This window comes from Homo sapiens, chromosome 7 (genome assembly GCF_000001405.40).
Source record: "Homo sapiens chromosome 7, GRCh38.p14 Primary Assembly".
NCBI lineage: Eukaryota > Metazoa > Chordata > Mammalia > Primates > Hominidae > Homo > Homo sapiens.
The window spans coordinates 35,643,444-35,671,395 of NC_000007.14; the positions used below are offsets into that span (position 1 = coordinate 35,643,444).

At 38.2% G+C, this 27,952-nt stretch overlaps 1 protein-coding gene across 5 annotated transcripts in view; it reads right to left on the reverse strand.

The window, feature by feature from the left end:
- HERPUD2 (HERPUD family member 2) overlaps nt 1-27,952 on the reverse strand; it is a 62,477-nt gene that overhangs the window by 10,785 nt on the left and 23,740 nt on the right. For 3 of the 5 annotated variants that reach the window (NM_022373.5, NM_001438072.1, XM_047420699.1), the window contains 2 exons: nt 26,772-26,885; nt 23,991-24,145 (listed from right to left, as the gene is read on the reverse strand). In NM_022373.5, the coding sequence (NP_071768.3) occupies nt 23,991-24,145; nt 26,772-26,885 (269 nt within the window). The remainder of the gene's footprint in view (nt 1-23,990; nt 24,146-26,771; nt 26,886-27,952) is intronic. The other 2 variants (NM_001438070.1, NM_001438071.1) reach the window with 1 other exon arrangement.

Genomic DNA, 27,952 nt, shown 5'->3' on the forward strand with positions numbered 1-27,952 from the left:
TAGTATGCGGCTATAAAAAGGAATGAAGATCTCTCTCTACTCCTATGGAGTGACTTCTTAGATATTTACATGAAATTTTGTTGAAAAACAATGTTAAGAAGAATATGCATAATAACATTTGTATAAGAATGAGGATATATTTATATGTGTGTATACATATATGTGTGTACACACACACACACACACTTTCATGAATTTTCCACAAAGAAACCAATGGAAAAAATAATAATAAAAATAAAATAATAAATTATTATGGAAAGGAAGAGAACAAGATGAGTGAAGAAAATGAAAATAAGCCTCTCTGAATGTATCTTGTTTTGACACTGGAACACTAATAATGTTTTATGTAATTAAAAAAAACTAAACTAAAAAGAAAAAATAGAAAGCTGTTAAAAAAAAAAAACTAAAGAAGTTTCATGTTTAATAGTATAACCACACAGAGAATTATTCTACTGACTTCAAAACAATATTTTAACTATCCCTAGTAGGGTAACTACTAAATACAAAAAGAACAATGAAAGTTTTAAACCACATTCAGTGATCTTACAAAAGCGGAAATAGTACTGCTATTTTAAAACTATTTGAAAAACATAAGCATATATACATACAAATAAAGCAAATAAGTAATTATGCTAATTCATTAGGGACTAGGATGTTTTAGCATAGAAGATATATAAATACACATACCAAAGATGATTTGTGAAAACTCTTTAACTTTTAACCTAAATTTGATATATCAGTATGAACTCATGATTCTTTTTTCCTTTTTTCTAAAACATACATAGCACCACCCACCCATGGGATAATTCCTTTAAAAAAAAAAAAAAGATGAACCTTAATTGAATTTAATCAGGCCCTAGATCTAACTACCAGTTTACAGGCAATATAGGATAAAGAAAAATGCTAAATGACACCATGAGAACTTAGTCAGCTATATTTAGACCACTGTGGGAAATAACACAGAACAACTACAGAAAGAGTATGAAGAAAGAAAAGAAAGGAAAAGGGAATTAGATTAGAAAAGCTTTAAGAAACATCAACCTGCCAGGGGCAGTGGCTCATGCCTGTAATCCCAGAACTCTGGGAGCCTGAGGCAGGTGGATTGCTTGAGCTCAGGAGTTGGAGACCAGCCTGGCCAACATGGTGAAACCCCATCTCTACTAAAAATACAAAAATTAGCCAGTGTGGAGACGTGTGCCTATAGTCCCAGCTACTCAGGAGGCTGACACAGGAGAATCACTTGAACCCAGGAGGCAGAGGTTCCAGTGAGCCAAGATCGCACCACTGCACTCTAGCCTGGGGGAAACAGTGAGGCTCTGTCTCAACAAAAAAAGAAAGGAAACATCAACCAAATGCACTATGTCAGTCTCTTCAAATACTCATTCAATCAAAATAACTATAAAAAGACATCTGAGACACTCAGGGAAAACTGAACACAAAGTGAATACTAGATGATATTGAAGATTTTTAAATTTTGTTGAGATTTCTAATGGTATTGTGATTAAGATTTTTTAAAGCCCATAGCTACCATATCTGTTACAAATACACACTGTTTACAGATAAAATTATAAGGTCTAGGTTTTGTTTTAAACTCTAGCCCAAGGATAAAAAAGGAAACAGAAGGGGAACTAGATGAACAATGGTAGTTTGCTGATTGTTGAAGTTAGGTATTAGCTGCACTGGGGTTCATTACAATATCTTCTGTACTTTGTGAATGTTTAAAAAGTACAATAAAGTCTTTAAAAATAAAAAAGCAGTATATAAAAATACTGACTGTTTAACCTAAATATCCATCAGCAGGGACTGGTTCATTAAATTATAGTAATCTGTATAATAGAATGCTGTGCAATTAATAAAGAATGAGACAGCTGGGCTTCCCTATAGTCATAGATACTCGGGAGGCTGAGGCAGGAGGACTGCTTGAGCCCAGGAGTTCAGGGAAGTCTGGGCGATATAGTGAGATCCCATCTCTAACAAAATAAAAATAAAAACTAAAAAATATATATTATATAAACAAAGAATGGGACAGCTCTTGTGTATTAATGTGGTGCAGTTGTTAATATATTTAGTGAAAAAACAAGATATAGGCTAGTGTGTACAGTAAGCCCTCACTTCCATTGTCAATAGGTTCTTGGAAACTGTGACTTTAAACAAAATGATGTATAACAGGTCCTGGAATAATGTCATATTTTTATAACATTAATGAAAAAAAAGTTGGTTTTGTTAATATTGTTTCACTTAAAGTTGCAGTTTCCAAGACCCTATCGTGATTTTAAGTGAGGACTTACTGCATAGAAAGTATGCCATTATGTGTTAAAATAAACACACATATACACATGCACGCACATACACACATACTTGTGTAAGCACATTTTATCTCTAGAATAATACAGGGGAAACAGCTAATAATGGTTGCCTCTAAGGAGGGCAAGTGGTGTAAGACATAGAAATGAAACTCTTACATACTTTTGTTTCGTTTTGTTTTGAACACGGTACCACTCACATGTATTACCTCTTAGAAAATAATTTTAAAAATAAATTGCCTGTTTAATCTACTGTCTCTCTGACCAGTCTCTGTGTTCCTAAGAATAGGGAATGGGCTTTATCCATTATTACTGTATCTCTAGCATCTAGCACAATAAATATGTTTTGAACAACTTCATATGAGCATTAAGAAAATATTGAAAATAAAATACTGATTATAAGCAACTATTTAATCTAGTAATTTGTAAATTCCACTTAATTATTCAACATTAAATGAAAACATGTAAGGTTACCAACACAGTAAAAATTTCAACTATATTAAATAAAAACATTTACAAAGTAAAGGATAATGAGCTGGGCACAGTGGTTCAAGCCTATAATCCTAGCTACTTGGGAGGCTGAGATGGTAGGACTGCTTGAAGCCAGGAGTTTGAGACCAGCCTAAGCAACATAACGAGACCCTATCTCTAAAAAAAAAAATTCAATTAGCTGGGCATGGTGGCACATGTCTGAAGTCCCAGCTACTCAGGAAGCTGAGGTGGGAGGATCAGTTGAAACCAGAAGTTCAAGGCTGCAGTGAGCTATGATGGCACCACCACACTCCAGCCTCATCGACAGAGTGAGACTCCATCTATTTAAAAAAAGAAAAAGCAAGCAAGCATACTGGAAGAAAATACAAAATGTTAAATTAATTGTCTTCTTTTTTTGGCAAAAAGCAAAATAAAATAGCAGAAACATGAGGAAAATGTAACTATTTGGAATGTGTAATATGCCTGTCCCCATAGAAAATGTCATATTCTTTATGCAAGGAAAACTGAGTAAGATAATAACCTGGTTTCTCCCTCTGCCCCTAGGAAATTCACAATGAGGAAACAGCTGAAATAAACAAGCTGGAGGAAATCACAGCTGGTGGCAGAAGTTCTGACAGCTTGTTTTTTTCTTTTCAGATCGGCTATACTAGTTAGCACTGTAGGATAATAACAGAAAAAAGGGAGCAAGGCAAATTCACTGAAACACATAAAATTACTGGAGTACCTTAGAAATTATGAAAAAAAAACCAAGAAGGAGAAAGACTGTCATTCACAATTATATACTTGAAAGCTATACCAAAATACAATCATCGTAGGTTTTAAAAAGTTAAAATTACAGAGGAGAAGAGATTAAAGGAACTGGAAACTTCAGGAACAAACTTTCACAGGAAACTTGTTAAATTAGCCTTGCTTCCCCCACCACTCCATACAAGCGACCAAGCAGCAACCTCATGGAATCCCCACTGTGTTCCCAGAAGCCTCCTTTTCAAGACTCTGCGATTGCTTTATTCTCCCTATTAACCCCCTTCAAGGCAGCTCAAATGTTATCACCTCTGAAGCCCTTCCCACTCCTCCAAGCAGAGATAGTCCCACCCTCCTCCAGGCTCCCTCAGCATTTTTTTCGAGGCCATGACAGCCCATCAGCAGATGGTAATTCATTTGCCTATCTGACCTACTTTCAGTGAGAAAGTACAGAATTCATTTTCCTCTCCTGAGTGCCTAGTACACAGCAGATTCTAAAGTAAACATTTACTGAATGAAGTCACAGGGTCTTCATGCAAATAGATTTGCTCACACAGTCACCAATACTTAAAATCTGACGGGTAGATCTGACCAGAAAAAAGTTTTGAATTGTGGTTGGAGGTGGGACACTGCCATTATGAACAAAGTCAAAATACGAATGATAACCTAGGAAAGAACAGTGAAACAAATGATAGACAAAATAGTCACTTCGGCAATGCTGTTAAGAATATAGGCCTCCAAGTTAAAAATGGATTTGAATTCTAGTTCTGCTATTGTGAACTTAGGCAAACTGCATAACCTTTAAGTCTCATTCTCCTCATCCATAAGTGGCAGATAACAGTGCTGAGACCAGAGTTTTTATAAAATGTAGTGAAGTAAGGCACATATAGGTGCTTAATACAATGCCTAACTTCTGCTAATGCTCAATAAGTATTAGTTATTAATATCCTTTTGGATAAAGTGTGGTAAATGAATTTTTAAAGATAACCACCACACCAACAAATAAGCAACTCACAAAACATAAAGAATGCCTCTTTATCATGTCTCAGATTAAAACAAGGACATTCCAACTTATCACGTTAGCAAGTACATATCTGTACAAGTAAAGAGACTCAGGATCTTCAACATTACCGAGAAAGTAAACTGGTACAACTTTACTGCAATTTTGCAAGTCTTTAAGGGCCTCAAAAATCTTAAGAACACTTTTGATTCAGGAATTCCCTTTGTCACAATTTATCCTAAAATAATAACTGCTAATATGTAAGCATACATATTTAAGAATGCTGATTATGGTAATATTTCACGGGAATAAAACTGACCAAATATTTATGGTAAAAGATCGCCCCAGTTCTTCAGTCTTCTATAACAGGATTATACATGCATACTATGTGCCCCTCAGTGGCAAAGCTGGTTTACGCTGGCTTACCTGGCTCATAACAGTAGACTGCTGAGCCATGATGGGAGTATTTACACCAGAGAAATCAGCAAATGCTACAAATCTAGGGCTTTATTTCCCTCACCCCCACCAAAGCCAGCTGTTAAGCATTTACCAGCACAGCACCTGATGTAATTTTGCAATACTTCCCCCTCTCAATGCTGCTGACCTGTTGAGAGTGGCCATGTGATTGCTTTGGCCAATGTAGTATTAGTAAATGTGACAGATAGAAGACTTCAAATGTGCTCAGTCATTAGCTTGCCCTCTTGTCTTCCTGTCATTTGCCATGAGAAGAATGTGTGCCACGAAATTACTGATCTAAAGAGAATGAGAAACTTGAAACGGCCCTGAACTCAATCTACAATCCAAGAAAGAGCTGCACCAGTGACTAAAAGATCTGTGAACAAGAAAAATAAAATGTATTGTAAGCCACTGATATTTTGAGGTTAGCATGCAGCAAAACTAACTAATACGCTCTCCATCAATATATGTGTGAACAAATTAGTAAACCTACATAAAGAAAAATCATACAGACTTTAAATGTTGTGGATTTATGGCCGGGAGCAGTGGCTCACGCCTGTAATCCCAGCACTTTGGGAGGCCCAGGCAGGCAGATCACAAGGTCAGGAGATCAAGACCATCCTGACTAACATGGTGAAACCCCGTCTCTACTAAAAATACAAAAAATTAGCCAGGCGTGGTGGCAGGCGCCTGTAGTCCCAGCTACTTGGGAGGCTAAGGCAGGAGAATGGCGTGAACCTGGGAGGCAGAGCTTGCAGTGAGCTGAGATTGCGCCACTGCACTCCAGCCTGGGCGACAGAGCGAGACTCCATCTCTGAAAAAAAAAAAAAAAAGTTGTGGATTTATATTTGACCTGGAAATATGTCCAAGCTGTATTATGTTTTTTTTTAAGTTTACAAAACAAACAGTGTGATGTTTCTATTTTAAAAGCACACACAGAAGTGTTTAGAAGGATAGTTACTAAAACGTTAGTAATCGTTGTCAACAAAAAGTGTGAAACGGTGTAAAATATTTGAAGAGATTTATTCTGAGCCAAATACGAGTGACCGATGGTCTGTGACACAGCCCTCAGGAGATCCTGAGAACATGTGCCCAAGGTGGTCAGGGGATACCCTAGTTTTATACATTTTAGGGAGACATGGGACATCAAAAAGATGTGAAATATATATTGGTTTGGTCCAGAAAGGCAGGATAACTCAAAGCAGGGGCTTCCAGGTTATAGGCAGATTTTTAAAAAATATTATTGGCAATTGGGTGAATTATTATCAATAGAAAGGAATGTCTGAGTTATGATAAGGGGTTGTAGAGACCAAAGTTTTATCATATAGATAAAGCTCCAGGTAGCAGCCTTCAGAGAGAATAGATTGTAAGTATTTCTTATCAGACTTAAGGTCTGTGTTGATGTTAAATGCTGGTCGGCTTTTCCTGAATTCCAAAAGGGAAGAGGGTATAATGAGGGATGTCCCACCCTCCCTTCCCATCATGGCCTGAACCAGTTTTTCAGGTTCACTATGGAGTTTCCGGGCTAAGAGGAGAGGTCCACTCAGATGGTTGGGGGACTTGAGAATTTTATTTTTGGTTTATATGGTTATTTCTGAGTGCTGGGCTACAAGAAATTTTTACTTTTAAAAAATCAGACAATAGGGATTCTAAGAGAGGCTTCATGACGGCTAACTAGAGGCATCTGATACTCACCTCCTCCACAAAAAAAGAACAAAAATACTAAGTAGATGATCACACTTCCAGTAGATCACCTAAGGGAGAATGCTGGAATTCAATAGAGAAGTGACAGGAAACACCTACGGCAAAGAAGGAGAGGGAAGCAAGGCAGCCTGCTGCACTGGATGGGCTGGGAGCCTGGAAAGGCTCCCCAGTGCAGGGAAAGGTTAAGTGGGGACCCCCAGCAGTCTACATTCCCACTGCAGACTCCTGTAATCCTAGCCACAAGAGAGACCCTTAATGCACACGGGCCCCGAGACTAACAGGAGACCACATGAAGGCACTGCTCAAGAGGAGTTCACAATGGGTCCCACACACCTCCTAATTCCTAAGTAGCTACAGCAAGGCACCATTTTCAGAGTCCAACCCCCAGCGGGCTGCATCCTGCCCTGGGGCCCAAGAACTCCGGTACCTCACATCCCTGGAGCTTCACTGAGATCCCCTGTGCATGAGGGATAACTGATGTATCTTGGGCCACAGTGCAAGACATTGTCAGCAACCCCACACCTGTGAACGGTGCTACTGAGCATTTACAAGCACCCTGAGGACAGGCTACCAGCTTGCAGCTGCCATCTGAGACCAAAGTGTACCCCCCCACCAATTTACGACTGTTGTCATTGAAAGCAACCCAGCCCTCCCAGTAACAGGCTGCAGTGCATCTCCCGAGCACTGTACTGGAAGTCTGGGGATCACGCCATCCTCGCCTACCAGAACCAGCAGCTGCACAAACCACCAGGGAGCCTGAGATCAAGCCAGCCTGGCCCAGTTCCACCCACCTCCAGTGGCTGAGCATGCCATCCAGGGGCCTGTGGATTGCACCATCCACAACTGTTGGCACCTGAGTACTCCTCCCAGAGGCCTGAGGACCCAATCTGCCACTACTACCACAGCAGACACCCATGTGCATGCACTACCTGTGGGCTTGGCAACTGGCCCACCCAACCCATTGCAGTCATCACCAACACCACCACAGACTGCTTGGGAGCCAGAGGTTTGTCCCACCAATATTACTGCCATAATCCATGGCATATCCACTGCCTAGGGGCCCGATGACATGCCAAACTGCCCAGCCCACCACTGTCACTGATGGCATCCAAACAAGCTGACTGGAGGCCCCCCAAGAATTGGCCCACCTGGACCATCTCACACTGGTGCCAGCGTATGCCACACTGGGGCCTAAGGACAGGCATACTCAGCCTACCACTGCCATCGCTGGGACCTAAAGATTGGCCCACCTGACACCCCTGTCCCCAGCAAAACTTCACCACAGCCTCCACTAAAAACCACACCCTAAGACACTGAGAAAATCAAACACTACTGACACTGTTCCTGACAAAATTCATACAGAGACTACACTATGGTATACATACAGAATCAAAGCCAAAGTGGCCTACCCGAACACCACCATAGACCCATCTTTAGGAAAAAGTGCCCCCACTACAAAAGCAAATGCAAAAAACTGAAGAAGGACTGTTATACCACATGCACAGATATCAACATAAGGATAGAAGAAACATGAAAAAGCAAGGAAATATGACACTTCCAAAAGGACGTAATTCTCCAGCAATGGATTCCAGTGAAAAAAAAAATTGTGAAATCCAGAAAACTAATTCAAAATAATGATATTAAAGAAGCAAGAGAATTCAGATAAACAATATAAAAAAAAATCTGAAAAACAATTCAGGATACAAATGAGAAATTTACCAAAGACACAGATATCATTAAAAAGCACCTGAGGAGAGTGAAAATCACCTGGTGACCACTGAACAGGCTTAGAGATAAAAACTTCTTATCTGAGCAATTTAGAAGGCAGCAAAGACTACCTGGTGACCATCAAACAGGTCATCCAGAGGCAAAACTCCTTATCTGGGGAATTTAGAGGTAATCAAACCTCCCTAGTATCTAAAGTCAGCATATGATTCCAGGCCTCTTTCAATTTTTATAAGTAACTAAAATTTCTATACATTTCTGGAATGCCATACTGAAACTAATTTTACAACCCTAAGCTACTGTCTTAAAGCCTATAAATGCTCCTAAGGAAAATCCACCACGGTGCGCTCAGTCCTCTCACTGAGGCACCCCACTGCACCGTTTTGCAGCGTTCTTCCTTTCTAATAAAGTTTCCTTTTTCAAACCTGTACTGTTGTCAGTAAATTCTTTTTACCAACCTGCAAGTTGACCACTTCCTGGTGCCAGGGCTCTGACACCTCGCCCAACAATCCTCAAATAGATACAATTCAAAAAGGTCTTCTCCACAACACATTATAGTCAAACTGTCAAAGGCAAAGAGAGAATTCTAAAAACAGCAAGAGAAAAGCATCCAGTCACTTAATGCTTAGAACCCCCAGCAGACTATCAGCAGATTTCTCAGCAGAAACCTTACAGGCCAGGAGAGAATAGGCAGATATATTTGAAGTGAAGAAAGAAAGAGAAAAAGAAAAGAAAAAAGGAAAGAAAGGCAGGAAGGAAAGAAAGGAAGGAAAGGAAGAAAAGGAAGGAGAGGGTGGGAGAAAGGGAGGAAGGGAGGGAAGAGAGGGAGGGAGGGGAAGGGAAGGGAGAGAAGGGAGAGAAGGAAGGAAAGGAAGGAACGTTTCTGCCAAGGATACTATACCCAGCAAAGTTATCCTTCATAAATGAAGGAGAAATAAAGTCTTTCCCAGACAAGAAAAAGCTGAAGGAACCCATTACCACTAGGCCGGCCCTCCAAGAAATAATTAAGGGAGCCCTATACCCGGAAGGAAACACATCAAAATATAAAACCCACTGGTAGAGCAAATACACAAATAAAAAAGAGAAAGAATTTATATGTCACCACTACAGAAAACCACCAACCACAATGAAAAACAACATGAGAGAAAGAAAGGAAGAAATGCTATACAAAAACCAGAAATCAATTACTAAAATGACAGGAATAAGCCCTGTCATATCAATAATAATCCTGAATACAAATGAATTAAACTTATCACTTAAAAGATACAGAGGGGCTGAAAGAATTTTTTTAAATGATCCAACCACATGCTGCCTACAAGAAATTCATCTCAACTGTAAATGCACAGACTGAAAGTAAGGGATGGAAAAAGATATTCCAAGTGAACAAAAATCAAAAGCAAACAAGAACATCTATCCTTATAACAGATAAAACAGACTTTAATTTAAAAACAGTAACAACAAAGAAGGTCATTATATAATGATAAAGGGATCAATTCAACAAAAAGATATAACAATTCTAAACATAAACGAATCCAACACCAGACCACTCAGCTCTATCAAGAAAACATGATCAGACCTAAAGGGAGGGACAGAATCCAATACAATAAGTGCTAGGGACATCAACACCCAACTCTCAGCATTACACAGATCATCTAGAGAAACACTGGATTCAAACTGCACTTTAGACCAAATGGACATAACAGACATTTACAGAACATTTCATCCAACAGGTATAGAATACACATTCTTCTCATCAGCCCATGGACCATTCTCCAGAATAGACTGTATGTTAGGCCACAAAACAAGTCTCAAAAAATTTTTAAAAATCAAAATCATATCAAGTATCTTTTATGACCACAACGGAATAACACTAGAAATCAGTAACAAGAGAAACTTTGGAAACTGTACAAAATACATGGAAATTAAACAACATGCTCCTAAATGACCATTGGGCCAAGGAAGAAATTAAGGAGGAGATAAAAAATGTTTGTGGTGTGTAGTGGTATGTGCCTGTAATCCCAGCTACTCAGGAGGCTGAGGCAGAAGGACTGTTTCAGCCCAGGAGTTCTGCAGTGAGCTAGGATCACACACCACACTCCAGCCTGGTCAACAGAGTGAGACTGTCTCTAAAACAACAACAAAAAGTTCTCGAAACAAATGAAAGTCAAAAAACAATATACCAAAACCTATGGAATACAACAAAAGTGGTGCTAAGAGAGATGTTTATAGCAATAAATGCTCACATCAAAAAAGTAGGAAGATTTTAAATAAACAATCCAAAAATACACCCCCAAGAACTAGAAAAGCAAGAACCACCTAACCCAAAATTAGTAGAGGGAAAGAAATAATAAAGATCAGGATAGACTGAAAAAACACAATACAAAAGATCAACAAAATAAAAACTTGGCTTTTTGAAAAGATAAAATCAATAAACCACTATCTAGGTAACAAAGAAAAAAAAAGACCCATATAAATAAAGTCAGATATGAAAAAGGAAACCTTACAACTGATACCACAGAAATATAAAAGAGAAATCATCAAGATATTATGAACAACTACACACTAATACATCAGAAAACCAAGCTATTATGAACAACTACACACTAATACATTAGAAAACCTAGAGAAAATGGGTAAATTCTTAGATACACACAGCCTGCCAAGATTGAATCAGGAAGAAACAGAAAACCTGAACAGACCAATAATGAGTAATGAGATTGAATCAGTAATTAAAAAAAAAAAAAAAAAAAATCTCCCAACAAAGAAAAGTCCAGGATTGGATGGCTTCGCTGCCAAATTTGACCAAAACTTTTTTTTTTTTTTTTTTTAAAGACAGAATCATGCTCTGTTGCCCAGGCTGGAGTGCAGTGGCGCAATCTTGGCTGACTGCAACCTCCACCTTCTGGGTCCAAGTGATTCTCATGCTTCAGCTACCTGAACAGCTGGGATTACAGGCATACACCACTACATCCAACTAATTTTTGTGGGTTTTATTTATTTATTTATTTGAGATAGAGTCTCACTCTGTTGCCCAGGCTGAAGTGCAGTGGCGCAATCTCAGCTCACTGCAACATCCACCTCCTGGGTTCAAGCGATGCTCCTGCCTCAGCCTCCAGAGTAGCTGGGATTATAGGCATGCACCACGACGCCCAGCTAATTTTTGCATTAGTAGAGACAGGGTTTCACAATGTTGGCCAGGCTGGTCTCAAAACTTCTGGCCTCAAGCAATCCACCCACCTCAGCCTCCCAATGTGCTGGGATTACACGCATGAGCCACTGTGCCCAGCCTTGACCAATCTTATAAAGAAGAATTAACACCAATTCTCCTCAAACTACTCCAAAACATTGAAGAGGAGGGAATTCTACAAGGCATTAACCTGATACTAAAACCAGAGAAGGACACAACAAAAACAACAAAAAACTACAGGTCAACGATGAACACAGACACAAAAATCCTCAACAAAATACAGCAAACCAAATCCAACAGCACATCAAAAAGAGAATACATCATCATCAAATGGGATTTATCCCAGGGATGCAAGAATGATTCAATAGATGCAAATCAATAAACATGATACATCACATCAACAGAATGAAGGACAAAAACCATATGATCATCTCAACATCCCTTCATAATAAAAGCTCTCAACAAACTAGGCATAGACGGAACATATCTCAACATAAAAAAGACCATATATAACAAACCCACAGCTAACATCATACTGAGTAAGTAAATCTGAAAGCCTTTCCTCTAAGAGCTGGAAAAAGACAAGGATCCCCACTTTCACCAGTCTTTTTCAACACAGTACTGGGAGTCCTAGCCAGAGCCATCAAGCAAGAGAAAGTAAGAAAAGGCAGCCAAATTGGAAAAGAGGAAGTCAAACCATCCCTCTTTGTAGATAAAGACTCCACCAATAAACTTTTAGATTTGGAAAGTTACAGGATACAAAGTCAAAATACAAAAATCAGTAACATTTTTACACACCAAAAACAAACTAGCTAAGAAAGAAATCGAGCCGAGTGTGGTGGCTCACGCCTGTAATCCCAGCACTTTGGGAGGCCGAGGTGGGCAGATCACCTGAGGTCAGGAGTTTGAGACCAGCCTGGCCATAATGGTGAAACTCTGCCTCTACTAAAAATACAAAAAATTAGCCGGGCATCATGGCAGACACCTGTAATCCCACTTACTTGGGAGGCTGAGGCAGGAGAATCTCTTGAACCAGAGAGACAGAGGTTGCAGTAAGCTGAGATTGTGCCACTGCACTCCAGACTGGGCAACAAGAGTGAAACTTCATTTCAAAAAAATAAAATTAAAAAAAGAAATAAATAAATACATCAAGAAGACAATCCCCCTTACAATAGCTACAAAAAAATACAATAAAATACTTAGGAATAAATTTAACCAAGTAGGTTAAAGACCTCTATAAGGAAAACTATAAAACACTAATGAAAGAAATTGAAGAGGATATAAACAACTGGAAAGACACCCTATGCTCATGAATCAGAAGAGCTCATATCATTAAAATTACCATATTACCCAAAGCAATCTATAAATTCAATGAAAATACCAATGTCATTTTTTACAGAATTAGAAAAAAAATCCTAAAATTCATATAGAACAAAAAAAGAGCCTGAACAGTGAAAGTAATCCTGAACAAAAGAACAAAGCTGGAGGCATCACACAATTTGACTTGAAAATATATTACAAGGCTATAGTAACCAAAATAGCATGGTATTGGTATAAAAATAGACACAGAAGACCAATGGAACATAACAGAGAAGACAGAAATAAATCCAGGTAGTTACAACTAACTGATTTTCCTTTTTTCTTTTTTCTGAATGTTTCTCAAAAAGCCAACTGATTTTCAACAAAGGTGTCAAGAACATACACTGGGGAAAGAACACCCTCCCTTCGATAAATGGTGCTGGAAAAACTGGCTAGCCATATGCAGAAGAATAAAACTGAACCCCTTTCTCTCACCATATAAAAAAATCAACTCAAGACAGATTAAAGACTTAAACTTTGAAGACCTGAAATATAAAACTACTAAAAGAAAACAGGGGAAACACTTCAGGATATAGGTCCCATCAAAAATTTTACGGCTAAGACATCTAGAACACAGACAACAAAAACAAAAATAGACAAATGAGACTATATTAAACTAAAAAGCATAGCAAATGAAGCAATCAACAGAGTGAAGAGGCAACTGCTGAATGGGAGAAAATACCTGCAAACTATTCAGCTGACAAGGAACTAATATGTAGAATATACAAAGAACTCATATAACTCTTCTTACAGTTAATAAAACAAATAATCCCATTAAAAAGTAAGCAAAGGACATGAATAGCTATTTCTCAAGGAAGACATACAATGGCAAACAGGTATATGAAAAAAATGCTCAACATGACTCAGTAGGGAAATGCAAATCAAAACCACAATGAAACTTAATTTTACCCCTGTTAGAATGGCTATTACTAAAAAGACAAAAAAACAATAGATACTGGCTAGGATGGGGAGAAAAGGGACCTCTTATACACTGTTGGTAGGAATGTAAATTAGTACAGCCACTATGGAAAACAATATGGAGATTTCTCAAAAAACTAAACACAGTTTGGGTGTGGTAGCTCATACGTGTAATTCCAGTACTTTGGGAGGCCGAGGTGGGAGAATCGCTTGAGCCCAGGAGTATGATCATGCTGCTGCACTCCAGCCTGGGCAACAGAGCAAGACCTTCTCTCAAAAAAAAAAAAAAAAAAAAAAGGCCGGGCGCGGTGGCTCACGAGCCTGTAATCCCAGCACTTTGGGAGGCCGAGGAGGGCGGATCACAAGGTCAGGAGATCGAGACCATCCTGGCTAACACTGTGAAACCCCGTCTCTACTAAAAAATACAAAAAAAAAAAAAAATTAGCCAGGTGCTGTGGCGGGCGCCTGTAGTCCCTGCTACTAGGGAGGCTGAGGCAGGAGGTGAATGGCAGGAACCTGGGAGGTGGAGCTTGCAGTGAGCCGAGATCGCGCCACTGCACTCCAGCCTGGGAGACACAGCGAGACTCTGTCTCAAAAAAAAAAAAGAAAAAAACCACTACACATAAAACTACCCTATGATCCAGCAATCCCACTACTAGCTGGCTATTTATCCAAAGGAAAAGTATGTCAAAGATACCTGCACTCCCATGTTTACTGCAGCACTGTTCAGAATAGCAAAGATGGAATCAATCTAAGTGTTCATTAATGGGCAAATAAGAAAATGTGCTATATATAGACAATAGAACACTATTTCACCGTAAAAGAGGATGAAATCCTGTCATTTGCAGCAACACAAATGGCACTGGAGGTCATTATGTTATGTGAAATAAGCCAGGCCAGAAAAAACACATATTTCATATTCTCACTCATATATGGAAGCTAAGTAAGTTCCTCTCATGGAGGTAGAGAGTAGATTGATAGACACAAGGGGCTAGGAAGGGTGCTGGGAGTGGTGGGGGTGAGGTGATGAAGGGAAGATGAAAAGTTGGTTAATGGGTATAAATACAGCAGAGTAGGCTGACTATAGTTAGCAACAATGCTGTAAATTTCAAAACAGCTACAAGGGCAGACTTGAAATCTTACCAACACACAGAAATGATAAATACTCTAGGTGATGGATACCGTAAATACCCTGACTTGATCATTACACATTCTATGCATGTGTAATGATCATCACATGAACTCCATAAATATGTGCAAATAACAATTTTAAAAATAAATTATAACAAAACAGACAATATAGATGGGTACAATAAGTAGCTTTTCAGATTTGTTATAAAACAAGGCTGTTACTATTTCAGCAGGAAAAACTGAATGTACAAAACTGGGTGTTTTATAAACCAGCCAGTAATTGTTAGAGTAAATAAACCACACAACAGACTGAGTCCAAAAACAGTCAAGACTTACAAATGGAACTTTGTAAATGAACAGCCAGTGTTGTAGGTAATGTATTGCTTTGTCCTTCTCATGTTTTCTCAGGAGCTAGGTAGGCAAATAATCAACTACATTTGGATTTCCCAAAGTGAGGTTCCCAGGGTATTGTTAGATTGGCAGACTTCTGAACACCATCTCAAAACTAGTGATTCAAAACCTCAGGGAGTAGGGACCAGAAATGAGCAATTTTCAGTTTTAATACACTCACTAAATATTGAGAACGCTAACCTACATGGTGGTAAACAACACATGCAGACTAGCTAATTATAAGCTATACATAAATTTGAAAACAAAGAGCAGAGCTGTTTTATTTTGATAGCAAATTGTTCAAGGTCACTAAATTACTGCTCTTGCACATTTTAAGGCTAAGACTATGTTAAATAAAATTTACTTAAAGTATAAAGCCTTCATCAGAAAAAATGACAACTATGAGAATAAGTCAAATCATGTTCATTGTTGAACTGAATAACCTAATTACTGAACCGTCACATCAATTGCTTTATAAATCAACAAATACTCTCTCCAAATATAAACACTTATTTTCTAGCACCTAACACAAGCATTCATTTGACTGTTTTAGTGTACCATACACAGAGATGCTTATAAATGTTTGCTGAATGTACAACATTCACTTATAAGGATGAAAGAATTTATAAGTAATTGCTAATATATCACTATGTACCAGTTACTGTTTTAATCACTTTATGGACACTAACTCTTTTAAACCACATAGAAATCCTGTAAGAGTTCTATTATCCCCCAAATAATGAGAAAATGGAAGCACAGTAGAGAAGAGACTTGCCCAAACTAGTCACAAAATTCAAACCCAGATTCACAAGATTCAAACCCAGGCAGGCTGGCTCCAGAATCTGTATAATCATTAAGCTATACTGCCTTCATTATTAAAAATAAAATATAATTCATCTAGTAATATATTCCCTAGGTGAAGCTCAAATATCTTTGTTGCTCAGTACTTTAACACTCACTTTTGGCAAAATATTTGAGATTTTTCTTTTTTTTCTTTTTTCCTGTTCTATTTCATCTTTATTTTTTTTATTCCTTTATTTTATTTTATTTTACTTTAAGTTCTAGGGTACATGTTCACAACATGCAGGTTACATATGTATACATGTGCCATGTTGGTCTGCTGCACCCATTAACTCGTCATCTACATTAGGTATATCTCCTAAGCTATCCCTCCCCACTCCCCCAACCCCACAACAGGCCCCAGTGTGTGATGTTCCCCACCCTGTGTCCATGGGTTCTCATTGTTCAGTTCCCACCTATGAGTGAGAACATACGGTGTTTTGTTTTCTGTCCTTGCGATAGTTTGCTCAGAATGATGGTTTCCAGCTTCATCCATGTCCCTATGAAGGACATCAACGTATCCTTTTTTATGGCGGCATAGTATTCCATGGTGTATATGTGCCACATTTTCTTAATCCAGTCTATCATTGATGGACATTTGGGTTGGTTCCAAGCCTTTGCTATTGTGAACAGTGCCACAATAAACATACGTGTGCATATGTCTTTATACCAGCATGATTTATAATCATTTGGGTATATGCCCAGTAATGGGATGGCTGGGTCAAATGGTATTTCTAGTTCTAGATCCTTGAGGAATCGCCACACTGTCTTCCACAATGGTTGAACTAGTTTACAGTCCCACCAACAGTGTAAAAGCATTCCTATTTCTCCACATCCTCTCCAGCACCTGTTGTTTCCTGACTTTTTAATGATCGCCATTCTAACTGGTGTGAGATGGCATCTCGTTGTGGTTTTGATTTGCATTTCGCTGATGGTCAGTGATGATGAGCATTTTTTCATGTGTCTATTGGCTGCATAAATGTCTTCTTTTGAGAAGTGCCTGTTCATATACTTTGCCCACTTGTTGATGGGGTTGTTGGATTTTTTCTTGTAAATTTGTTTAAGTTCTTCATAGATTCTGGATATTAGCCCTTTGTCAGATGGGTATATTATAAAAATTTTCTCCCATTCCGTAGGTTGCCTGTTCACTCTGATGGTAGTTTATTTTGCTGGGCAGAAGCTCTTTAGTTTAATTAGATCCCATTGGTCAATTTTGGCTTTTGATGCCATTGCTTTTGGTGTTTTAGACATGAAGTCCTTGCCCATGCCTATGTCCTGAATGGTATTGCCTAGGTTTTCTTCTTGGGTTTTTATGGTTTTAGGTCTAACATTTAAGTCTTTAATCCATCTTGAATTAATTTTTGTACAAGGTGTAAGGAAGGGATCTAGTTTCAGCTTTCTAGATATGGTTAGCCAGTTTCCCCAGCACCATTTATAAAATAGGGAATCCTTTCCCCATTTCTTGTTTTCGTCAGGTTTGTGAAAGATCAGATGGCTGTAGATGTGTGGTATTATTTCCAAGGGCTCTATTCTGTTCCACTAGTCTATATCTCTGTTTTGGTACCAGTACCATGCTGTTTTGGTTACTGTAGCCTTGTAGTATAGTTTGAGGTCAGGTAGCGTGATGCCTCCAACTTTGTTCTTTTGGCTTAGGACTGACTTGGCAATGCGGGCTCTTTTTTGGTTCCATATGAACTTTAGTTTTTTCCAATTCTGTGAAGAAAGTCATTGGTAGCTTGATGGGGATGGCATTGAATCTATGAATTACCTTGGGCAGTATGGCCATTTTCACGATATTGATTCTTCCTATCCATGAGCATGGAATGTTCTTCCATTTGTTTGTGTCCTCTTTTATTTCGCTGAGCAGTGGTTTGTAGTTCTCCTTGAAGAGGTCGTTCACATCCCTTGTAATTTGGATTCCTAGGTATTTTATTCTCTTTGAAGCAATTGTGAATGGGAGTTCACTCATGATTTGGCTCTCTGTCTGTCTGTTATTGGTGTATAGGAATGCTTGTGAATTTTGCACATTGATTTTGTATCCTGAGACTTTGCTGAAGTTGCTTATCAGCTTAAGGAGATTTTGGGCTGAGATGATAGGGTTTTCTAAATATACAATCATGTCATCTGCAAACAGGGACAATTTGACTTCCTCATTTCCTAATTGAATACCCTTTATTGCTTTCTCTTGCCTGATTGCCCTGGCCAGAACTTCCAACACTACGTTGAAAAGGAGTGGTGAGAGACGGCATCCCTGTCTTGTGCCAGTTTTCAAAGGGAATGCTTCCAGTTTTTGCCCATTCAGTATGATATTGGCTGTGGGTGTGTCATAAACAGCTTTTACTATTTTGAGATACGTCCCATCAATACCTAATTTATTGAGAGTTTTTAGCATGAAGAGCTGTTGAATTTTGTAAAGGCCTTTTCTGCATCTATTGAGATAATCATGTGGTTTCTGTCTTTAGTTCTGTTTATAGGATGGATTATGTTTATGGATTTGCATATGTTAAACCAGCCTTGCATCCCAGGGATGAAACTGACTTGATCGTGGTGGATAAGCTTTTTGATGTGCTGCTGGATTCAGCTTGCCAGTATTTTATTGAGGATTTTTACATCGATGTTCATCGGGGATATTGGTCTAAAATTCTCTTTTTTTGTTGTGTCTCTGCCAGGCTTTGGTATCAGGATGATACTGGCCTCATAAAATGAATTAGGGAGGATCCCCTCTTTTTCTATTGATTGGAATAGTTTCAGAAGGAATGGAACCAGCCCCTCTTTGTACCTCTGGTAGAATTCAGCTGTGAATCCGTCTGGTCTTGGACTTTTTTTGGTTGGTAGGCTATTAATTATTGCCTCAATTTCAGAACCCGTTATTGGTCTATTCAGGGATTCAACTTCTTCCTGGTTTAGTCTTGGGAGGGTGTATGTGTCGAGGAATTTATCCATTTCTTCTAGATTTTCTAGTTTATTTGCGTAGAGGTGTTTATAGTACTCTCTGATGGCCATATTTCTGTGGGATCAGTGGTGATATCCCCTTTATCATTTTTTATTGTGTCTATTTGATTCTTCTCGCTTTTGTTCTTTATTAGTCTTGCTAGTGGTCTATCAATTTTGTTGATCTTTTCAAAAAACCAGCTCCTGGCTTCATTGATATTTTTGAAGGGTTTTTTGTGTCTATCTCCTTCAGTTCTGCTCTGATCTTAGTTATTTCTTGCCTTCTGCCAGCTTTTGAATGTGTTTGGTCTTCCTTCTCTAGTTCTTTTAATTGTGATGTTAGGGTGTCAATTTTAGATCTCTCCTGCTTTCTCTTGTGGGCATTTAGTGCTATAAATTTCCCTCTACACACTGTATTAAATGTGTCCCAGAGATTCTGGTATGTTGTGTCTTTGTTCTCATTGATTTCAAAGAACATCTTTATTTCTGCCTTCATTTCGTTATGTACCCAGTAGTCATTCAGGAGCAGGTTGTTCAGTTTCCATGTAGTTGAGCGGTTTTGACTGAGTTTCTTAATTCTGAGCTTTAGTTTGATTGCACTGTGGTCTGAGAGACAGTTTGTTATAATTTCTGTTCTTTTACTGAGTAAATTTGTTATAATTTACTGTTCTTTTATTTGCTGAGGAGTGCTTTACTTCCAACTATGTGGTCAATTTTGGAGTAAGTGTGATGTGGTGCTGACAAGAATGTATATTCTGTTGTTTTGGAGTGGAGAGTTCTGCAGGTGTCTATTAGGTCTGCTTGGTGCAGAGCTGAGTTCAATTCCTGGATATCCTTATTAACTTTCTGTCTCGTTGATCTGTCTAATGTTGACAGTGGGGTGTTAAAGTCTCCCATTATTATTGCGTGGGAGTCTAAGTCTCTTTGTAGGTCTTTAAGGACTTGCTTTATGAATCTGGGTCCTCCTGTATTGGGTGCATATATATTTAAGATAGTTAGCTCCTCTTGTTGAATTGATCCCTTTACCATTATGTAATGGCCTTTTGTCTCTTTTGATCTGTTGGTTTAAAGTCTGTTTTATCAGAGACTAGGACTGCAATCCCTGCCTTTTTTTTGTTTTCCATTTGCTTGGTAGATCTTCCTCCATCCCTTTATTTTGAGCCTATGTGTGTCTCTGCACGTGAGATGGGTTTCCTGAATACAGCAGATGGGTCTTGACTCTATCCAATTTGCCAGTCTGTGTCTTTTAATTGGAGCATTTAGCCCATTTACATTTAAGGTTAATATTATTATGTGTGAATTTGAGCCTGTCATTATGATGTTAGCTGGTTATTTTGCTCATTAGTTGATGCAGTTTCTCCCTAGTATAGATGGTCTTTACAATTTGGCATGTTTTTGCAGGGCTGGTACCGGTTGTTCCTTTCCGTGTTTTAGTGCTTCCTTCAGGAGCTCTTGTAAGGCAGGCCTGGTTGTGACAAAATCTCTCAGCATTTGTTTGTCTGTAAAGGATTTTATTTCTCCGTCACTTATGAAGCTGAGTTTGGCTGAATATGAAATTCTGGGTTGAAAATTCTTTTAAGAATATTGAATATTGGCCCCCACTCTCTTCTGGCTTGTAGAGTTTCTGCCGAGAGATCAGCTATTAGTCTGATGGGTTTCCCTTTGTGGGTAATGAGACCTTTCTCTCTGGCTGCCCTTAACATTTTTTTCTTCATTTCAACTTTGGTGAATCTGACAATTATGTGTCTTGGAATTGCTATTCTCGAGGAGTATCTTTGTGGTGTTCTCTGTATTTCCTGAATTTGAATGTTGGCCTGCCTCACTAGGTTGGGGAAGTTCTCCTGGATGATATCCTGAAGAGTGCTTTCCAACTTGGTTGCATTCTCCCCATCACTTTCAGGTACACCAATCAGATGTAGATTTGGTCTTCTCACATAGTCCCATATTTCTTGGAGGCTTTGTTCATTTCTTTTTACTCTTTTTTCTCTAAACTTCTCTTCTCACTTCATTTCATTCATTTGATCTTCAATCACTGATACCCTTTCTTCCATTTAATCAAATCAGCTACTGAAGCTTGTGCATGCATCACGTAGTTCTTGTGCCATGGTTTTCAGCTCCATCAGGTCATTTATGGACTTATCTATGCTGTTTATTCTCGTTAGCCATTTGTCTACTCTTTTTTCAAGGTTTTTAAGCTTCTTTGTGATGGGTTCAAACATCCTCCTTTAGCTGGGAGAAGTTTGTTATTACCGATTGTCTGAAGCCGCCTTCTCTCGACTCGTCAAAGTCATTCTCCATACAGCTTTGTTCCGCTGCTGGCAAGGAGCTCATGTTGCTGCCTAATCCTTCCTCTGGAAGCTTCATCTCAGAGGGGCACCCAGCCTTATGAAGTGCCAGTCGCCCCCCTACTGGGAGATGCCTCCCAGTTAGGCTACTCGGGGGTCAGGGACCCACTTGAGGAGGCAGTCTGTCTGTTCTCAGATCTCAAACTCAGTGCTGGGAGAACCACTACTCTCTTCAAAGCTGTCACACAGGGACATTTAAGTCTGCAGAAGTTTCTGCTGCCTTCTGTTCAGCTATGCCCTGCCCCTAGAGGTGGAGTCTACAGAGGCAGGGAGGCCTCCTTGAGCTGAGGTGGGCTCCACCCAGTTCGAGCTTCCTGGCCACTTTGTTTATGTACTCGAGCCTCGGCAATGGCAGATGCCCCTCCCTCAGCCTTGCTGTCGCCTTGCAGTTTGATCTCAGACTGCTGTGCTAGCAATGAGCAGGGCTCCTTGGGCATGGGACCCTCTGAGCCAGGCGCGGGATATAATCTCCTGGTGAGCCGTTTGCTAAGGCCATTGGAAAAGTGCAGTATTAGGGTGGGAGTATCCCGATTTTCCAGGTGCAGTCTCTCACGGCTTCCCTTTTGTAGTAAAGGGAATTCCCCGACCCCTTGCGCTTCCCAGGTGAGGCGATGCCCCGCCCTGCTCCATGGGCTGCACCTATTTGTCTGGCAAGCCCCAGTGAGATGAACCTGGTACCTCAGTTGGAAATGCAGAAATCGCCCATCTTCTGCATCGTTCATGCTGGGAGCTGCAGACTGGAGCTGTTCCTATTCGGCCATCTTGGCGCCACCTATTTCAGATTTTTCTAATCAGCTTAATATACTTCGAAGAGCTGAATGCTTTTGTCTTTTATGTTTATTAATTTTCTCAATAGCCTAGTTTAGAGAAATTATTAATCTTTTACCAATGTATCTATGGTCTTATTCTGAAGACCTGTAATCTTATAAGCTTGATTTGTTTATTACAAAATATATTCACTGTAAGTAAGAGAAAGAGTTATAAATTTTATCCAGAGATAACCACTATTAATGTGGCACTATATATTTTTCCAGGCTTATTTATAATACTCCCACCTTCCACCACTACCACCAAATAAAATAAGTAAAATCACTCTGTATAAACTGAGAGGAACTTACTCTGTGAAAAAGAAAGGAAGTGAATTACTGTCATAAGACAAAGTATTTGAAGCTACTGTTCCATAATATAAACCCTGAGAACACTGCTTTTTACAAGTAAATCTTGGTTTATATTAATAGTAATCACTTTCTGAAAACAAAAATAGTTTCACAGGTACTTTATGAAAGTCTACAACCAGCCTCATCTAAACATTTATTTTGAAAGAAAAGGCTTCACATTTAAGAAATCTGAGACAAATTAGTTCTCTTCTATTTGCTATATATTCAGCTTTGTTTTTCTGTATTAATAACTGAATTAAGTTTAAAGTTCTAAGTAAAAAGTACCTGAGTGTTTATGCCGTCCTGTTGAGCACAGCAGTCAATAGCTACTCCTTGGTTACACCACCTACATTACAATTCTGAGGTCCTAGCCATATTCTCATTTCTAGCTCCATCATCATGGATCCAGACCAGTGCCACACACTGCAGCCCCATGGCTTGATACGCAACACAGAAATTATCACTATCTGTTACTCAAGCTTCCTTTACCTCAAAAATAACAAACAATAATACCCCAGTAAAACAGTCTGCTTTCACACACAACCCTGGTCCAAACCATGTTCTCCAAGATCCTACTCTCTAAGCTGCTTTACCTGTGGCTGCATTTCCTCTGGAAGTGCCTAACCCAAGGGGCCTGCTGTAATTGCTAAATATAGGGTGACTATGGCAAGCTTCTTAAGAAAACTGCTTTATAAAACTCTCAATACAACAAAGATTCTGGACAACATGCAGCAAGATTAGCATATCCCTGTAATACATCATGGTTTTACTCTAGCACAGTTGTTACCAAGTTGATTAGAAACACTTGTGGAACGTTTAAAAACTTTTAAAAACAGATTGCTGGGCTCTGTACTCTTTCAAGTATACCTTCACTCAACCACATTCCCCTAAACACTAAATTGAGTAGATCTATAGTGAGACTGAGTAAAAAAAAATTAGTTACGTAGATCCTTGCTATTCAAAGTGTAGTCCAAACATCAGAAGCATTAGCATCATCTGGGAGCTTGTCAGAAATGCAGATTCTCAGGCCCCATCATACCTATTGAATACAAACCTGCAGCTCAACAAGGTCTCCCGGTGATTAGGACAAACATTCAAGATTGAAAGCACTGCCCTACATGATTCTCATGTGCAGCCAGGTTTGAAAAGCAGTGCTCTTCTTAACCCTCTAGTTCTCAAAATACAAAATCAAATATATGAATAAATTTAAAATGTACTTTAATTACTGCAAAGAGGCTATAGTGAAACTCAAAAGCAATTCATTTTTAGGGGGCCCCAATCACATTCCATAGCTACCACAATTTCACTTACCCTTGCATTACATATGGAAACTGGTGACTCTGTGCTTGGTCAGTTTGTGCTTGTGGAAGGGTACGCTGCCTCAATCCTTCTGAGGAAGAACCCACAGCTAAAGACAAGGTTTCTTGACCAGATGATGGAGTTGTTGATCCTGAATGATCTGAACTCTACAAATAAAAATGTAATTTTTAAAAGGAGATTTAGTTCTTTACAATCATAAAATTACAGGCACATTACTAAAAACGTATTCATGAAATCCCTCTGCAAAATAACATTTCAGAAATTTACTGTTTTACATCGTGTGTCCAGTATAAGTAGATATTTTAATTTTAGTACGTCAAAACTTATCAAAACTGCTTAATTAAACTAAAATATTCCATTTTTTCAACTAGAAATGGCCGAGGAGCAGAATAATAATATACAAAAACAGCATATTAAATTCTGAGGATTAAGTTAATGCATAAAAAGCTCTTTTCACATGATTAAATTAATGCATGCAAAGCTCCTTTCATGATGCCTAACACATACATTTATTGAAAGTGTTCAATAAATGGTACTAATTACTGAGTCATTTAAACAGTTACTATGTGCCAAGTACTGTACAACATGCTATTGTTAACATATTGATTTAAAGTAATGAGAAACAGGCTAGAAATCCTAGAAATCAAAAGATCTAAAATCTAGTGTTATCTCTGACATTAACAAGAGTTATAACCTTAAAGGTTCACTTAACCTCTCAGAGTTTCCACTTTCCTACAGAAAATGAGATTGGACTAAATTTTCAAGATTCCTTTCAGTTCTAGAATTCTATTAGTTTATAGAAATCACCAACAAATATTGCTTTTTTACAAAATGAACTACGAGAATCAAGATGTTAATCAGTATTTTTTTATTCTCATGCTCAAATCTTTTTATTCTCGTGCTCATGGATTCAGTAACCATAAACAATATAACTCCCTGAAGACCATCCCAATTTGTTTGAAAATAGTTTGTCAAGTGTTTCATGTACATTTAAAACACAATTACATTTTACATAAATTATAGTTCTTCCACTTTAAAAAGCTAGGTACAGTATTATTTTAACATCCTTCCTTTAACAATTTTGTTAAATTGTATTTTACCCGTACTGCCTTCCTATTGACAGGATGTCTTTTTGCATGACTCCCATGCTAAGTCCTGCAATGTGAAAGGTCCAAAACTGTCTTTTGCAAAACAGTCCACACCAGTCTTTTGCAAGACTAACAAAAACTTTTAAAATGTTACTTCACACACAATAGATATCAAATATCTTACTAAGGAGTCCGGATTCTTAGGAACATAAACTGGGAAAGGTTTCTTTTTCAGCAAGATTTCTCATTAAATGGGCCATCATAATACGGTGTTCATTAATACAATTATTAGAAGAAAAGCCTAGTCATTTGGCAGCACAACCTAATTTCTCTAGAACTAATGATTTCTGACCTTATTAGGTAATTATTTTATGATTAGATCTTTAAAATATTTTCAAGTCCCTTGAAATTTCTGAACCATGAAAAATTAAGGTGAATTCAACTTAACATTCCTTTGATACTTTTCAGGCTTTCATAACACTGAAAAAAACAAATATACACACTAATGACACAAAATCATGGCTGAGCAACCCACTGGACAAGTCAAAGTCAGAGGGTTCTTTCCCAACAAAAATTGAAGCAATGCAACTGTGTCCGACGACTACAAAAAAAAACTCTGTGCCAATGCCAATGTCTGTGCCTTTCCATGCCAAGGCAGGAAACATACAAAGACCCTTGGGTGTTTTGACAAGGCATATTTTATTTAGTTTAATGTAAGCTAAATTCCCATGGCTGGTACTAGGAAATAGTTACCATTAAGAGAATACAAATTAAATACAGCAACTGGAGAAGCTAGTTTCTTAAAGAAGCAGTTAACTAGTATCTATTGAGAGAGTTTTCAACTAGCTCCCACCCCTGTCACTTGTGCTCTCTTTCAAGCTTTGGCTGGAGTCTTGACAAGGAAAGCATACTTAGCAGTAGAAAAGTTCCCTGACTGCTCAAGAAGTTGAAAGCAAGCTTCCACTCATCCAATCCTCTCACCTGCAAAGGTGTCATAGAAAGCTTTTATGGGAAATCAAAAATAACATAAAAGGATTGGGGACAATGTTTTTGAAATTTGTAGAAAATGTCTAAATTGAGAAGGTCAACTATTACAAAACATTTCCAAAACAATTTTAGGCAGATGGAAAAATAAGGATGGAGGAATGAATACCCAAGTCTGAAAGAGATTAATACATTAAGTATTTCCTCCCCAAGCAGGTGGAATGTACACCCAAATCCAGTCATTTTTAAAAAACAAAATCCTTGACCAAGTCATCTACTTCAAGAAGATTTAGGGTACTTAAATTTTAAACAATTTAATCCACCTTGAATAAAATATACTATTTTAAATACCTGGCATATTTCTGAAACGTCATTGGCCTAAGAGTTTATATTATATAACCGTAACATAATTCCGTTTTCTGAGTATTCCAGTAATTAAACCTTTGAAGATTAAATCTATTACTGACCTGCCATACAGCAAATTATAACTCAAGGTGAATAGACTTCAAGGGATAACACTGCGTATTAGATCTTTCAAAATGGTAAACTTTACAAAATGCCTAACTTTAGTTCAAAACACAATCTCAAAATTCACAAGCTCCAATTGTTCTGTTTTTCATTTAGTTTTTAGAGGCAAAAAATAAGACGACGACGAAAAAAAAAGAAAAGTTCAATGTTTACTCCTCCCAAAACAACTCACAGAATTGCTGCTGGATGCCAATGCTTCATGACTTTCTCTATTGGTGCTGGATTTTGGAGAACTGGGAGGAGTCCGAGAAGTACATACTAGATGAACCATATGATACTCATCTTGCTAAAATTAAAGAAGATTACATTTAAAGGGTAGTACTACAAAATGTACAGTTCAAAAAGTCAGTAGCTAAACTGAAATACCTAAAACTTAGGTCCCTTTCGAGCCTAGCCATTTAATTACTGATAAATTGTTATCATTTGAAGGTAAATTTGTCATTTTATTTGTGATCCTTTTGAATTCAATATTTTCTCCATACTTGGAAAATGATCTAAATACTCTGCAATTGCTGGGTTAAAAAATTATTTTGCATACGAAGCAGTCTTAAAGCAAACAATGTTGTGAAAGTTGTAACAGCACAATCTATAATTTCAGCATGAAAACATCTAGCACCTTAAACTTTTTACAGTTTACATATTTCCATCACTTGAGGCTTAGCAACTATAAAATAAACTCAAATAACTTCATCATAATCACATTTGCCTTAATTTTAGCAAGGTGATTTTTTTTACTCTTTTTTTCAGTCAAAAACTATTTTTATCTATAACACCTATACGCAGATATAAAGCATACATTTAAACTATATTCTGTAAATATCCCATGTTTTTCCATAAACCTAGAAATATGACTGAAGAAAAATATTCCAAATAACGATTAGGGTTGGCATTTTAGCTTAGTGAGATCATAAGCATATTTATTTATACTTAGACATAAAGCCAGCAAATAAGATGGGGAAAGGAAAGAAGGAATAAAGGAGGACAGAGAACAATGAAGGATGAGTCAGCTAGTTTTTTAAAAAGAAAAGAACAGAATGACAAAGAAAAAGGAGCAGAAAGAAAGATAACCAAATGGGGAGAAAGGGAAACAAAGCTACTAGAAACTATGAATGTATCACTTGCCTACCATGAACCTATAATTGTGCTTAATTTGGAGACAAATCCAAGAAAGGGTACAACAGGCCCTTCCTTAAAGAGGCTCATGATATTGTTAAGAGGGTAGACTAGTGCACTACAGCACAATTAGAGAAACACAGAGAACAGTCTTTTTTTCATGAAACTGAGAAGCCCAACCTTAATTGCTTTAGGAGTTTGGAGGAAGGAGTTACTAAGGGTTAGAATGCTAAAGAAAGG